The 16,378-nt window shown below is 35.6% G+C and overlaps 1 protein-coding gene and 1 long non-coding RNA gene across 8 annotated transcripts in view; one reads left to right on the top strand and one right to left on the bottom strand.

The window, feature by feature from the left end:
- FGF12 (fibroblast growth factor 12) overlaps window positions 1-16,378 on the top strand; it is a 588,152-nt gene that overhangs the window by 455,983 nt on the left and 115,791 nt on the right. The gene's annotated exons all lie outside the window — the stretch shown is intronic.
- The window catches only part of FGF12-AS1 (FGF12 antisense RNA 1), a 44,468-nt gene that overhangs the window by 11,539 nt on the left and 16,551 nt on the right, over window positions 1-16,378 (bottom strand). The window contains exons 2-3 of the long non-coding RNA NR_046596.1: window positions 6,143-6,312; window positions 4,420-4,556 (exon numbers count right to left, since the gene is read on the bottom strand). This is a non-coding gene — a long non-coding RNA (FGF12 antisense RNA 1). The remainder of the gene's footprint in view (window positions 1-4,419; window positions 4,557-6,142; window positions 6,313-16,378) is intronic.

Genomic DNA, 16,378 nt, shown 5'->3' with positions numbered 1-16,378 from the left:
GGCAGGTAGGTGGGAAATGGTAAGTTAGGCTTTGTAGGTTGGATTTCAAAGATGGGTGGGATACGCTGATGGGAGTTTAAATCAGGAATTCTGAGCCAAATCAGACTTTGCCTTGCTATTGTAATGTTTCAGCCTTGCTACTGTAACTTCCAGCAAATGGGCTGAGAATCAGATTCACAATAGTTCTGGTTGACAGTACAGCATTCAACAATGCAGATACTTATGTCGACTCAGAAAAAGTTTAATGGGCGAATAACACAGAATACAGGAGAAAAGAATTTGAAGAGTGCTTGAACCTCTGAATTCATACAAAGCCAGCAGATGTACTGGATGTTACTAAATACATGACATGAAGGAGGCTCTGTAGTTTCAAACATGAGGCTTATTCTTCCTTGGTAACCAAAAATGATGCATGGATGTCTTATACAATGTCCATGATATTTCATGCCACAGTTAATGATTTTTAGATGACACTTGGAGAGAAATCTTTGGCAATGTCTAATTGATTGATTTTGGTCCAGTTTTTTAAGAACCATCCTTACTGCAGGGAATGAGGCTGCCTGCCAATATACTATCTGAGAAACTCAGAAGGGCAAGAAAAACCTACATATCAAATCAATTTAAATGGAATTTGAGGTGTTTTTGGTGGAATTCTAACATCCACCAACACCCATTATATCTCCCTATTTTCTTCCCATTGAATTAGTGGATTCTTTTATCTTCCTTCCTTCCTTCCTTCTTTCCTTCCTTCCTTCCTTCCTTCCTTCCTTCCCACTTTTCTTCCCTCCATCCATTCATCTGTCTTACCTTTTTTCCTTCTTTTTAAAAATTTCAGCATAGCATTTTTCTTCTACAATCTGGAGGAATATATGGGTTATGTAAGTGTGGAAACATATTTGTCATTTTAGTTTACCTTTGCTGAAATAGTGAAGGATACATAACGTATAAGATACAATAATTCTCTTAATTTTTTGTGACTTGGCTCATCCAGAATTAGTTTGTCAGCTCCTGCAATGTACTTAACATCTTATTTCTCCCCAGTACCCTTCATGAGATCTGCTGTGGTTCATAGTAACTTAGATTGAATTATTTTTCTTTTCTTTTTCTCTTCTTAGTTCACTTTGCCCAGTAATAGTAGGGGAGAAATGAGGGGTTTTATGAAATGTTGATATAGTGGAATAGCATGAGTGGAGAATTTCAAGAAAGTTCAGTTCTTTGCTCATGAATTGATTTAACAGTTACCAACTAAGGTGCAGGAAATTAAGTGCTGTATTACATGTAGCCTGAGGCTCCTTGGAGAAAAGAAAAATGCTTTTGCTTTTCATTGAGCTGTGGGAAGTTGTTTCAAGACCATCAGGAAAAGCTTTATTTCTGTGAAAAATAGCTCTATGGTCATCAGAGCAAAAAGGCCTTGAATTTTATATGTGAAAGATTTCTACTGAAAAACCGCTAGGTCCTGACTCCATTGACCTCAGAATGCAGGAGGATGTGGAACACAAAATTGAAATTGTGGCCCATGAAAGTTACTCTTTTTCAGTAATACTACAGTATTACAAATATTCCATGTTCTTTAATGAAACACCTTGCCACTAACCTGAATGGATGTCAGTTTTGTTTCTCTTTATAACACAGGGCTCACTAACAATGTTCAGCTTTTCAGCCATTTATTAAACTCAGAAATTTGTCTTAATAAAATCACTTCAAAGGAGAAAAAAAAGAGCTGTATGTCTGAAGATATTCTTTGTAGTATTAGCTATAATAGTAAAAGATGGAAACAATTTAAATACCCAATGGTATAGAAATTATTAAATGAGTTTACATGCCAAGAGGTAAAGAAATATTGTGTGGCCATTAAGAGTTATTGGGTAGACTCTGCAACTGCAGAAAATTGGCTCCAACCTAGTGTTATATAGAGGAACTAAATAACTAGTCATAATAAATATAGCATTTATTAGGTCCTTTTAATGTGCCAAACACTTTTGAAGGACTTTACATTTATTAAGCCTAACAGTAATATTATTAGGTAGTACTATTATGGTCCCTAATTTACACATGAAGGAACTGAGCAAGATTGCAGGGCTGATAACCCCTGGGTTTGGGATTCAAATGTAGAGAGTCTGTCTGCAGAGTTCACATTTAACCAGTACTGTGTATACGATCAACAAATGGCTGTATCTACATTGATTACATCTGGTAACACTGAGTGCAGGTTAAAAAGCTAGGAGAATATAGAGAAATAAAATTAGTTAAGACTGCTGAAATTTGGAAGAGAGGCATTTTTTTAAATTTTCTTTTATGTTCTAGTGGGTGGCTTTCACTATTTAAAAATGTCTTAGTAGGGCCAAGTATGTTAGCTCATGCCTGTAATCTCAGCACTTTGAGAGGACAGGACAAGGCTGGTGGATCACTTGAGGTCAGGAATTTGAGACCAGCCTGGCCAACATGGTGAAACACTTTCTCTACTAAAAATACAAAAATTAGCCAGGCGTGGTGGCACACGCCTGTAATCCCAGCTACTAGGGAGGCTGAGGCAGGAGAATCACTTGAACCCAGGAGGCGGAGGCTGCTGTGAGCCAGGTTCATGCTGCTGCACTCCAGCCTGGGTGACAGAGTGAGAGACTCCATCTCAAAAAAATAAAAAACAAAAAATAAATAAATAAAAATAAAAATGTTTTAGTAATGTGTAACATTTGCATACAAAGTTCAAACTTTATTAAAGTAGGCTATTGTATTAGATTATTCTTGCATTGCTATAAAGAAATACTTGAGACTGGGTAATTTATGAAGACAATAGTTTTGATCGGCTCACAGTTCTGCAGGTTTTACAGGAAGCATGGTGCTGGCATCTCCTTGGTTTCTAGGGAAGCCTCAGGAAGCTTACAATCATGACAAGGCAAAGGAGGAGCAGGTATGTCACATGGCAAAATCAGGAGCAATGCAGGGGAGAAGCCACACACTTTTACACAGCCAGATCTCATGCAAACTCAGAGAGAGAGTTCACTTATCATCAAGGGGATGACCCAAGCCATTCATGAGGCATCTGCTCCCATGATTCAAACATCTCCCACCAGGCCCCACCTCCAACATTGGAGATTACATTTCAAAATGAGATTTGGGCAGGGACAGATATCCAAACGATATCATCCATCACATAGTATGAAAGAAAAGAGCTCTCTATCCCACATGACCTCTTATTCCATTTGAAAACCCACATCTAGAGTTCTGGTGTTAAATCTAGTTTTAGATAAAGGCCACCACAGCTCCCCAGATGGAGTAGATGCTTGAAGGATGAGCTCTTCGTGGAAAATTGGAAGCAGCAGAATTTGCTAGTATGTAGGGCAGAGAAGTGCAGTCTGGGTAATCAGTTTGTAATCCTCTAGCCTATGATGCAAAAGTGACAAGGAAAATAGCTACATCTGGCATAGGAAATATTTACGTTAAACATTAGGAAGAACTTCTGAGATTTCATAGTACTGTGCTGGGTTGTGTATTCATGTTTTAAAATAAAAGCTTTATCTTTAAATCTGAGATATCCATCCCTTGGGAGAACAAGAATACTCAAATAGAAACAGAAAGGATTCTTACAAAGTGGGAGGTCAAGCAACTTATAGAATAGAGAATATGTGATGTGGAAGGAGAACTATGATTTGTGTTAAACTTATTAAAGGTGCGTTGTTAGAAATTTGTGATTTTTGATGCAAAATTATCTATAGTGGGTTTTTATGATTTTGAATAGCACAGAAATCATATTTTATAATTTAAAATGTCCTATAAAATTTTTAACATTGGGAGTCCATGAATAAGTTTAGGGAAATTATACAGCAAATTGATGTATGTGCATATGAATATTTTCAGGAAGGGAAATCCATGGTTTTAATCAAATGTTTATAAATGTCCACAATGCCACATTTACTACTATAACATCTCCACTGATATGTTACGGGAAAAGAGAGGACTGAATGGTAATTTAGGTAGATAGATGACAGATAGATTGATGATAGATATAAAAACAGATATATAAATATAATCTCTTGCATAGACTTGGAGAATCTTCTTGGCCCCTACTAATGTTGTTAATATTCTCATTAAAAAGAGAAGATATAGTCTTTTATTAAACTCTCATTGGAAATGGAAATAACTAACATGTATTTAAATACCTTTAATCTGTGGCCATTGAAAAGCGTAATGCATGGGAATTTTAGACGGGGGCTGCAGCTATACCTTGCACATTGTATTTTGGCATAAAGATGAATCAGAGCATTGAGATGATAGACTGGGGTTCTTCCTGGAGATGCTGTGCTGCCAGCCAATCAAGCATAGTTATCTAAGTTGCATTAATCAACTATGTAACCTGTGATTTCCTCTCAGACGAAATCACCTTTCCAAGGACTAAGACTCAATTAAACCTCCATTGCTTACCTTGGTGACATCTGTTGTTCGCATTGTCAGGAAATCTGTTGTCATTATTTAGAAAGCAATCTTTTAGATTTCATGTAATCGAAGGTGCCAAAAATTTAAATTAGCATGAAACATCTGATTCCTCAAGGCATCAGTTCCTTGAAGCAGATAACCAATGAGAAGAGATTTATTTCTCTCCTATAATTCAGGTTTTTATTGCTTTTACTTTAATAAGAGCTTTTTGAGATATAAGTCACTTCATAGATTTTTTCCCTGAGTTTCTTTTCCTTTTGTTAGCTTTTTAAAAGTGTATTTGTTCATGTGTGAGGTAGTGTATGTGTGTGTGTGTGTGTGTGTGTGTGGTGTTTAAAGATAGAGCAAATTGACTTTTGAAAAGAACGTGGTTAATAAAGCCATTCGGGTTAGTAATACAGGATGGAGTAAGACTGATTGAGCAGCAGAAAAAAATGGAAAGTATTAAAAGTTCCTAATTAACATATTCATTTTATGAGCTACCATTTTCTCACTAAATGCCTCTTTTGACTCTGGCAGTTGCTATTGCTATGACATATTTTAATTTATACCCTAAAGCCAAGTGGAATATATATCTTCATAGGTAAAATATAGCAAGATATAAATTAGACAGTCTAATATTTGATACTGGTTGGAGAAAGCCTTTCCCTGACATTCCTTTGACTGAACCTCCTAGATAACATGTTGCCTATTATTTGGGAGGGCAGTAAACCTACTTAAATACCCCCAGTTGGTTGTTCATTTTCATCTTCATTCAGCTTTTCATTTGTTCAGCAAACATTGAATGTCCCCTGTGTATAAGGCCCTATCTGTGCTTAACATTATGCAAGTCATGAAATTCATAAGAAATAATATCTGCATTTAAGAAGGGTCTTAGACATAACCAAAGTACAAGGTAGATTGAGGATCATAATATGACAGACTGGTAAACAGAATGCTGTGGAAACATAGAGGGAGCAACTAATTTAACCTGAGCAGTCAGAGAAGATTGTATGAAAATACAGTATTTTGTTTTGCCTTCGAAGGACCAGTACGATTTTAGCAGATAGAGGAGGAGAAAAGGTGCTAAGTGCTTCCAACTTAAGGGAAACATTAATTTATTAAGTGCTTTTTATGTGCAAAACAGTCTGCTAAATGAATTCTTTCCTATGAGCCAGTTCTTTATCCCCACAATGCATAGAAGGAAACGGAAGCTTGCAGAGATTCAGTTTATTTTCTGGCCAAAAGAAAGAGCAAGTAACAGAGTCACTGCCATATTTGCTAAGCTGAAAGACATTTCTTTTTTTCATTATTGTGTCAGAGAGAGGTTGGCAAACCTTTGCTTAAAGAGCCAGATAGTAAATATTGTAGGCTTTTTACACTGCACAATCTCTGTCACAATTACTCACCTCTGCCATGGTATACACCAGACTCTCTGGTGTATAGCTTAAAAGCAGCCATATACCATAAGTAAATGAATGAGCATGGCTGTGTTAAAAAAAAAACTCATTTATAGATATTGAAAGTTAAATTTTACACAGTTTTCAGGTTTCATCAAATATTCTTCTTTTTAATTTCTGAACTATCTAAAAATGTTAAAACTGTTCTTTGCTCATGGCTCTACAGAATCAGGAGGTGGGCTGGATTTGTCCTGTAGGACATACTTTGCTGACCCTTGAAGCTTTATCAATACTTATCATGAGAAATAATTAAGGGAGAAAGAGCCACCTACCCTTTATATGAGGCCATCGCATCACACAACTCCTGGGTCTTCATTTGATTTTTAGTCCATCTGAATAGCACTGCCTGCAATTGTGGTCTCTGCAGTTTGAGTGACCAGTGAACTCCCAACACGGAGGAATATAACATCGGATGTTACTACCTCTTACACAGATGCATCTGCTGAAAAATAATAGGTTAAAAAAATCATCTGAGATAAGACTTGACTCTATTATTGAACAAAGAAATGTTTCCAGGCCAACTCTTAAAGTGAGCAAAGTTATGTCATACTTAAGTTACCTTGTTTGTCAATCTTTACACAGCAAGGGCTTTTTATGTTTTCTCCTTTATCTTCAATGGTTCCCTTTTTGATTAAAAAATATGAAAAAGTCCCTGAAGTTTGACTTACTTATAAAGTGAAAATGATGCAAGCCTGATTATGTCCTTAGAAAGCATTGATGATATCCTGTATACTTCAATATACCTAGTGAATTCTAACACACCTGAATGGCCTTGATGTAGACCAGAACATTTAGAGAGACAGAGGCAAAGCACTTGGCATCAGACGGTGGATCCCAGAGACGTTTTAAGGTTCACTAGACATTTGCTGTAAGTTTCTAGGGCTAGACTTCTGGAATTCCACTCTTGTTGGTTGAGAAGTAGAGTCTTGATAACCAGGAGTATATTAGAGATTTTCATGGAGGTCTGTCTGACTGCAAAGACTCTAAGAGTCAAATCATCATAAGATTCTACTCAATAAAGTATAAAGTATGACCTTGGCAACGTTTCTATCCTCTCTGTACATCAGTTTCCTCTTCTGGAAAGTGGGGGTAATAATAGCTACTTCCTTAGGTTGAATAGAGGACTAAATAAGAAAATAAATCATTTAAATTATTTTAATTACGCTCTTTGAATTTTTGTTTACCCTTTTCTCCAGAATTAAAAATAGAATTCATATTTTCTACATTCCTGATTTATCTGTTATGAATGCAAGCTTTTTTTGCTTAGACGCTTTTGGATTCCACATTAAATGTGAAAAAAAATCATCTCTTATTTTTGTTCATCAATATCGTCAAAAAAATATGATATACCCAGGCAATTGTATTATTTAGCTTTTAGGAAAAGTCTTCCTTTTTGAAAGTCATTTTATTGATGGTGTGAATTAACACAAAATGTTAGGTCAATTTAGTTATCGTGTGCTTGGAGAATATTTATTCATTCTGGAGATTTCTGGATGTGCTATATAGTTATGGTGATATATGAAAACAAATCGGAATACTCTGCCAAATTTTTAACAAGAATCTAAGTCATAATGAGATATTAGTTTACTTGATGGGAGGATTGATTCATTTGATTTTTCCTAGGGGAAAACAGTGTTTCAGGCTTTAAAGATGAAATATGACACATTAGATCCTCTTTAGGCTCAGTAAGGAAAGTTTGCTTTAATTTTGCAGAACTTTAAAGTTCAGTTTTATTCTGCATACTGATATTAACTGTTTAAGATGATTTTGAGTCAAAGAAGAATAAGAATAAGATATTTTGTTGGACTGCATTTATGAGCCTTAGAGGGCATATTTAGACTAATGTGTCTTTCCATTTGATCCTAAAATCTGTAGGGTATTAAGTAATGTCTTACTGGAGTTTTCATATATGGTATTAGAAGTTTATTTCCTCTGATTTAATTTCAAAACTCAATTTCATTTATTTCAGAAAATTCCAGCATAGCCAGCATGATATTTCATTGTTTTGTTTAAATCAATGTTTCTCAACTTGGCTGCACCTGAGAACTTCATGGAGCATTAAAAAAGAAACTTCATCCCTGGACTCATATGCGTATTTAATTGGTTTGGAGTGTGGCTCAGGAATAGTTTTTTTTTTTTCCCTCTTTTTTTTTATTTTTTTAAAACAACACCAGATGATTTTAACGAGTAGTTTTGATTGAAAACCAGTGGTATAAATTAGCACTTCTCAAATTGTAATGCATGTATAAACCACCTGGGAATTTTGTTAAAATATAGATTCTGATTCTTCTGTAGTTCTGGGATGGGACATTGATGGGATTAATGCTGCTGAGTCAAAGACCATATTTTCAGTAAGAAAGGTCTAAGCTAAGGCCCAATGTAGTTAGAAAACATTTTATCAATCAATGCCTTGATACTAAATAATTGTTTATGAAATAATTAATGTTTACTTGATTACTCGAAATGATGTCATACTCAACATTTTACAATGGACCATTTTTACTGCCATATTGCTTGATTCAATCCTATATTTTCTGACCACCTACTATATACTTACTATTTTGCTAGTCTTGCAGGGAATGTACAGAGTAGAAAAATAGAAATCCTATGCTTAAATAGCTCAGAGAATCAGAGTGTTTATGCTAATGACCATAATTAAAAGGAAAAGGCTTGTAAGTAAAATTTTTGATTTTATACTTAATTTTGAGGTATTATGCCTTTTTGTTAGAGAGATTTCTTACGTTTTAGAAATTATTGAAATCTGACATCTTTTCTTTCTCTCTCCCTTTCTGCAGGATGCGTGTGTGTGTGTGTATGGGGGAGTAGTTCTTAGGGGTTTTTATCTACTTTTTTGATGGGTTTATCCAAAGCAACTAGAGGAGCACTTGATTGGAAAAAAAAAATTACAGTCACGTGTCACTTAATGATTGGGATACATGTGAGAAATGCATCCTCAGGCAATTTTGTCACTGAACAAACATCATGGAGTATACGTAGGTAAACCTAGATGTGAGAGCCTACTACACACCTGGGCTGAATGGTATAGACTCTGGTTCCTATGCTACAAACCCATATGGTGTGGTACTGAATACTGTAGGCAGTTGTAACGTAGTGATATTTGTGTATCTAAACCTAGAAAGGTACGGTAAAAATATAGTATTCTAATCTTATGGGGCCATCTTCTTATATGTAGTACATTGTTGACCAAAACATCGTTATGTGGCACACAACTATATATACCATAATTCCATAATATTTAACTGTCTGCAGTCAGATCTAAAAACCATTTTGAAAACTACTCATATAGAATACATTTTAGAGCTTAACATGCAATGGAGACAACATTTTTTGTCTTCAGAAAAGTGTTTTTGAATCTCTTACAAGAAATTTAACAAAATGATCCACAGCTGTTGCCAAAGGAATTAAAAGCAAAGTTTATGCCTCCCCACGGCCAGCATACTTGTACGAAACAAATGTCAAAAGCTGCACGTGGGGAACTTGGAATGGTTTAATTTATGTGTACGGAGTCAGCACAAAATTCATAGCAGTCTGTCACCAAGGTTTGTTAGCTAATTGCTGTGTTTTAAATAAATGTGAATTTTAACAACACTGTTTAAGAGCCTGCTGTCTCCCTTTCTCTTGGCACACCTAGGGGTTCAAGCTATTATCTGAACACATTTTCTAATTCTTCGAGTACTAAGGGGGCACCTCTGTTGTCTTTGACAGTCAGTCCCCCTCCTTAATAAAATCAGCTGGACACATTCTCAGGAAAACAACCCATAAGAGAGAATTTTCATGGGCTACTACTACTATTTTTTTCTTCACACACTTCTTTCCCCATAAAGCACGAACAATTCAGATTGTGCCACAGGCTGCTGGAGATAACACGTATTGAGTTTTCCTCGTCTGACTCTACATAAAATTACTTTAGGTAGGGAGAATTCATTTTACTAACTAAAAAACTCATCTATTTGTAACCACTGTGTTCGATGTAAGCTCATGATGTAAGCAAAAAAGATTTCCTTTTCTCTCTCTCTGTCCTCCTTACACTTTGTTACAGTGTGGCATATCTTCATGTGTTCCTGGACATAACCTCTGGCGGAGCCATGACATCTCCACAGCTCTACAGACACTTTAGATCACAAACATAGTGCCAATTCAGTAATTAGAATGGAGTCCAAGGTGTTAATCCAAACTTAAAAGCTTGTGTAATCAACAGTTAAATCCTCTCCCAGGTGAGGTTTGCTTTAGTGCAGAAGCCTGTGGTTGGAAACGGAAGTATAGCATTAGCTCCTCTTAGAGTCTCTTACTACCTAGATGCTGTGTTAGCTCTACCAGGACCAAAGTGATGTGTAGAGCAGAGGAGGTGTAAAAATAGTACAGTTCTTGTTTATCTGGGTGGCTTCATAAACCCTCGGCCATGGCCAACGTTTGAAGTTGAGGTTTTCAGGTAGACCAGGCCAATATAAAAGCCATCTTTTTTTCCTTTCATGAGTGTTTTCATGGAATCTTTAAAGATTCCTTGCTGGATTCTCTCACCTGCAGTTCCCTTAGCTGATATTTCTATTGCAGATAATTCCTTTGTGGCTCCTTCCTCAGCCCCTGCGTACCCTGTGGTGTGTGGCCGGTCTCTTTGTGGTGAGGTTCCTTTACCCCTGTACCCCAGTTTAGCTTATCCGAAGTGACTCCCTACCCCCATCTGTCTTGGCCTACATCTGATCCAGATAAAACCCTATACATCCTTGGTTCTCACAACTTCTGGGGGTTGTGCCCTATCTCAATACAGCGGTACTCTCCTATCTGTTTCTGCTATCAAAGCAGCTGGTCAGGCTTTCAGTCTCTGTATATATTTCTCTGGCATGGGTTAGAGCCTAGTAAAGTTTAACTTTTTAAGAAATGAGTCAGGCCCCTGTCCTCTGTGTCTTTCCATTGCAGAGAGATAACACCTCTCAGCCCTCCCTCCATAGAAGCAGGAAAGGGGACTTACAACACAGCAATAACTTTCTCTGGAGAAATCTGATAACAGGCTTTCTCCAAAATTCTATTTCTGACCCTTGGACCTCTATTTATACCTTATGCTAACTGAGAGGTCCAAGAGTAATGGAATATGTTCTCCCACATCACATGTGTAAATTCTGCATATGGAGATTTGTGTAATACGCGGGTTGTATTATGGTATCCGCTGGGTTGATTCTACAGTGAAATCTGAGGCAGGAAGAATCCCAGTCCAAGGATTTGTTACATATTTTAACAAGTTGGGGATGAACAGAATCCAATTTAGTGTGATTTCTTAGCCACTGAATAAACACTATTAGTTGGCACAGTAAAAATTTGGTGGGAGATCAAAGATGTATAAAATATAACATTTGTCTTCATTGGCAAACAACCTAATTGGGAAAGCCAGATACACTGTAAATAGCTAAATATAGATGAATACGGCTGTGATATACACTTGCCTAAACTACCCTGGTATGGTATCTTGTAGTTTGTCAAGTCAGAAGGTTTTGTACTTGGCAAAGGGAAAACTAGTTTGCTAGGCATAGGAACATTTTGGCATGATGATTTTGGTTTGGAGATTGGTGAGGTTATTGATATTATCGTAGAGATGCTTCAAGTGACAGAAGATCCGGTTGGGGAAGAAAAAATATGTAACAGCAAATTATAAACTTAGGCTAAGCCCACAGATTTTACTGAGTAATTTCTGTCAGCAAAAGCATCCACAGTGAAGACATTCAACCATTAGAGACATATATGAGAATGCCACATATAATCCCACCTACGAGATCAGCTATTAAGAATTCTGGCATTAATCCTAGGTGTGAATCATTGGTCGTGAAACCTCACACCTCGTTTATTTTCATTGCTACATCCTATGCTTCAGCAAACTTTTCCTTCAACCATTACCTAAAGTTAAACTATTTCCACTATTTTGTGGTAAGAACATATTTATTGTCTTTTTGTATCTTATAAAAAAAGAGGGAATTTCTGATTGTTTCTTCTTTGAGGAAATATTTTTAAACTCCCCTCAATCTACAGATTTCTTTAGTGAAGAAAGTATAAAACCACCCTATTTCTACTTACAAACATTTCCTAAAACATTTTTTTCCTCTCATGGGAAAATTATTGCCATGAATATTTATACATGGCATGTCAGAGACTTAGTGCGTTTTGCCCATACACTTAGACTTTCCTTGTTCCAATCTAATGCTTCTGGAGTTTTTAAATAACATAATTGTGCTCAGCTCAATTCATTTTTTGTTCTATTTTATGGATATATTGTCAGCTACATTTTTACGTATAGAAAGTTGTTTTACAGCCATTGAACCATAGCCTTAACATCTATTGTTATGGTTCTTATTCATCACCCCCAAAATAATTTTTAAAATTCCAATACAACTCTTATCTTATGATGCAGTATTTTCATTATGAAGCTTTCCCTTATTCAGTTTCTTAGCAAAACCTTTTCTGATACCAGACCGATATTTTCCACTTATGATTCTGTTTTCCAGTCATATTAATCAAGCTCAACCCATGACCTTGAAAAAGGATGAAATAGAGGAATTGCCCTTGGGTATAATGAATTGACACAGGAAAAGCTACTCATGATGGATCTTAAATGCAACCAAGCAATTTGCTTAGATTCTCAAGAGAATGATTTTATATTCTCTATTAGGATGTGTTTAACTGAGTAACTGCAGTTACGTAAGTAATAGTGATGCTGTGCAGATAAGGGGGATAAATATACGTGCAAATGCAAACACACACATCACACATACATTTAATAAAATCTGATTCGTTAGTGACGCATATTTCTGCAGTTGCTAAGCATTGATGACAGCATATCATATTCAAAGATTTATAGAAACACGATTTTCACAAGTCGTTCACTGCTTTCTTTCTCTTTATGTGGAACATGAATTTCTTTCATATATCATTACTTGAGGAACTTCTAGTCATCAATCTGCCCATTTGTGTTAATCTGCTTTTGAGTCACCCAAAAGTTTTTATACTTTCTTTAATAGTATAAAAATAAAATGCTTCAAAAACCTTTAAATCTTCATATGGATTACAACAGAGCAAAAGATTAAGGTATCCAATATTAACCTTCTCCAATTTTAAAGAAAATGAATCAACTACATACTGCTTATGCTTTAAATACGTTTTTATTATAAACAAACTATACTGTTTTTAACTGCTATTGTTTATTTTATTTATGTATTTATTTATTTTTTGAGAAAGGGTCTCACTCTGTCACCCAGCTGGAATGCAGTAGTGTGATTTCAGCTCACTGCAACCTCTGCCTCGCGGGTTCAAGTGATTCCCCTGCCTCAGCCTCCTTAGTAGCTGGGACTACACACGTGCACTACCACGCCTGGCTAATGTTTGTATTTCTAGTAGAGATGGGGTTTTGCCATATTGGCCATGCTGGTCTGAAACTTCTGGCCTGAAGTGATCCATCCACCTTGGCCTCCCAAATTGCTGGGATTACAGGCATGAGTCATTGCACCCAGCCCTATCTTTTAAATTATATTTATTGTCGTGTCTTATATTTTTCCTCATGCAAAATTTTCCTGGTTCCTCTCTCCCCTGCAAACAAACAAACAAACAAACAAAAACAACCTTTACTTTGTAACATTTCTGTTCGTTTTGCTTTTTTTTTTTTTTTTAAATTTTACCACTACCTTACCAATATGCAAGCTTCACTGGTTCTGAATCACACAGGGTACCGTAAGGATTGGAATTTAAGAGTTTGATTCTCAAACATTTGCTGCATGTCAAGCCCTCTCAGAAGTCAAGCCCTCTCAGAAGTCAAGCCGAAGTTCAAAAATAGAATAATATCGTTTAGAATTTGCTCACCCTAATCTTGTATAAAGTGTAAATTTGTATTCCTTGTTATGAAATCAGGAGAAAGCCAATTTTCCTGTGACCATGGAAAGACTCTTCAAAGGGAGACTTCTGGCAAAGTAGTATGTTTATGCTTAAGAGTAAAAACACAAACAAAAAACCCTCCCTAGTCAAATAACTAGAACATTTGGTTAACTCAACCAATCAGCAAAATCAGCACCAAAATATTTTTCATGAAATAGATGAACTACACTTAGCCACCACTGCACCATAAGTGGAAGTTAAAATGGCTCTGAAGAGAAGATATGGAGAAATCTATTCTTTAAGAAGTCAAAATCCCAAGATAATGATGGGTAAGGGTTTCCGAGAAATTACTCAAAAGTCAGGGATGTGCACGATTACAAGCAATATGTGTGCAACTGATATAGGGATTAGAGCTTCATCTGCCACTCTCTGATGTTGATATAGAGATCATCTGGGTGATGGACAGGCTATATTTTGATTGTTATTGAATAGGAAATTGGGTCTAAATAACACGGTGGCAAAACTAGGACATAAATTCAAAATTCTGGTTCTATAGCTAAATGCTAATGCTGAGACTCTGACAGGGCTTTTGATACTGATAAAATTACCCCCAAAAGATATGGGAAGGTACTTATTTAATCTGATAAAATGTGGGAAAATTAGAAAAGGCATGTAGCAATAATGGTACTGGTTTAATATTTTGAAGAATAACCAAGTCACGTTATATTATTTGCACAGATTGCTCTTACAGTTTTACAAAAACCAAACACTAGTAGGATCTTACATTTAGTCTGTGAGAGCATAATTACAATTTATGAGCTTATGGGAAAAAGTTACTGAAGGGTGAGGTTTTCTGAGGAGCACAATTCTTGAAATCCAGACTTGGAAACTAGCGATGGTGAAAACAAATATTAATTTCCATATAGTCACTAACCAGATCCAAGCTAATTAAAGGAAAGTCCAAAAGCTCAAGAAAATTCAGTTTAAATTGCCTGAGTTGAGGGAATGCTCATTATTCATCTATTCTGCTATCTGTGTGTTTAATCCATAAATAATTACATCAAATAAAACCATACTTGAAATTATTCTCCAATAAGACTTTTAAAACCTACTTTACTATTTTTATGCTGTTGCCTAAGGAATCTATTTCATTTCAGTCTAATTAAAATGGCTCAAAGAGCATTTTTAAGGGAGCAAGAGAAACTTGATGTTAAAAAGTTTTTTTGCCATTAAATGCTTTAAATATATGGCATATGCCATACCAAATAACATGCAAATTAGTATAGAGCACATCATTTCTAAAGAAAGTAAACCCGCATATTTTACTTAAAATATATAAATATATAAAATATGTACAATTTATATTTATAAGTAAACATAAAATATGTAAATATCTATACAGTAACAAGTATGTTGCTTATAGGTTTACGTGTGTGTGTGTGTGTGCGGTATGAGTAATGGGGAAGTAGATTTGCATAGAGGGTACAAATCAATAAGACAATGAATTATTGCAAAAGTATCAAAAGATTAAAAGGAACAATGTATACTTGGTCAGATTATTGAAAGTTTCTATTATTTAACAATTATAAAATTATGCATATTTATAAGTCAGAAGCTGGAAATCAAAGTAAATGACTAATTTGCATGGGAAGTAAGACTCTGCCTCATTGTAGCTAGTTGTAAGAATTATGACAGAAGATGAGGACAGGACAAGGACCAACCAGCTGGGTTCACTCTTCTTTGGCGTGAAGCTGAATATTTATGACAATGAATTCATCTTCTGGAATAGCATAACAAGTTAAACCATAACAGAAGTGACTTGCAGTTTCCCTCCCCACCAGAAATGATGTCAAAAAGCACTATAAATTTCATTAATGGGATGTTTTAACTCTTTGTTGTGGAATGCCAACCAGAGGCCTGCCAGGTGGGTACATTCATGAAATGCCATATAACTTCGGGAAAGACATTAATGGCTACTGGAGATGTTCCATAGACTTAATAATAGGCACATCTCTAGGAAAATGTATGTGCATGGCTACGTTTAGTAAATGTAACATATTTCTTTCATGTTAAAAACTGCTTGGGGGTCCGACATGAGAAACTATGTTTAAGCTTTGGCAAATACCATTTTAAATATTGTTTTAATAAAGTTAGGTTTACATTGATGACTAATCAGAGATTGCAAATAATAAAGAAATAATAGTAGAGGATTAGGTTGTGCTTACATGTGATATGTAAAACAGATATCTAATTATTTTATTATACCAAACGTGAATTGGAATAGATTGGAAAACTTTATGCTATGATATGCATTTTAACATGATCCCTACTGTGCATTGATAATTTAAACTTTCTAGGTACCATAACACTTTCTTCCCCAACTCAGCTTACTCAGGATGCACTTAATAAGTAAAACTCTGAAATGTTTTCTCTCCCCAGTTAGATTGTAATTTTAATTAGTATACCTCTCCCCCAGCCCTATTCATTGGCTTTTGTTAGAACGATTGTAATGGGAAAAGTTGACAATGTTTATAATATTAATAATTTAAACTTTTCTCTAACATTAATAATAAATTACCTTTTATTGAGGTTTTATAATGTGCTCAGCTATTTGATACAATGCTGTGAGCAGTATTTCT

Source organism: Homo sapiens, chromosome 3 (assembly GCF_000001405.40).
Source record: "Homo sapiens chromosome 3, GRCh38.p14 Primary Assembly".
Lineage (NCBI taxonomy): Eukaryota > Metazoa > Chordata > Mammalia > Primates > Hominidae > Homo > Homo sapiens.
Note: the sequence above shows the minus strand (reverse complement) of the source record. Positions and strands in the feature narration are given on the sequence as shown.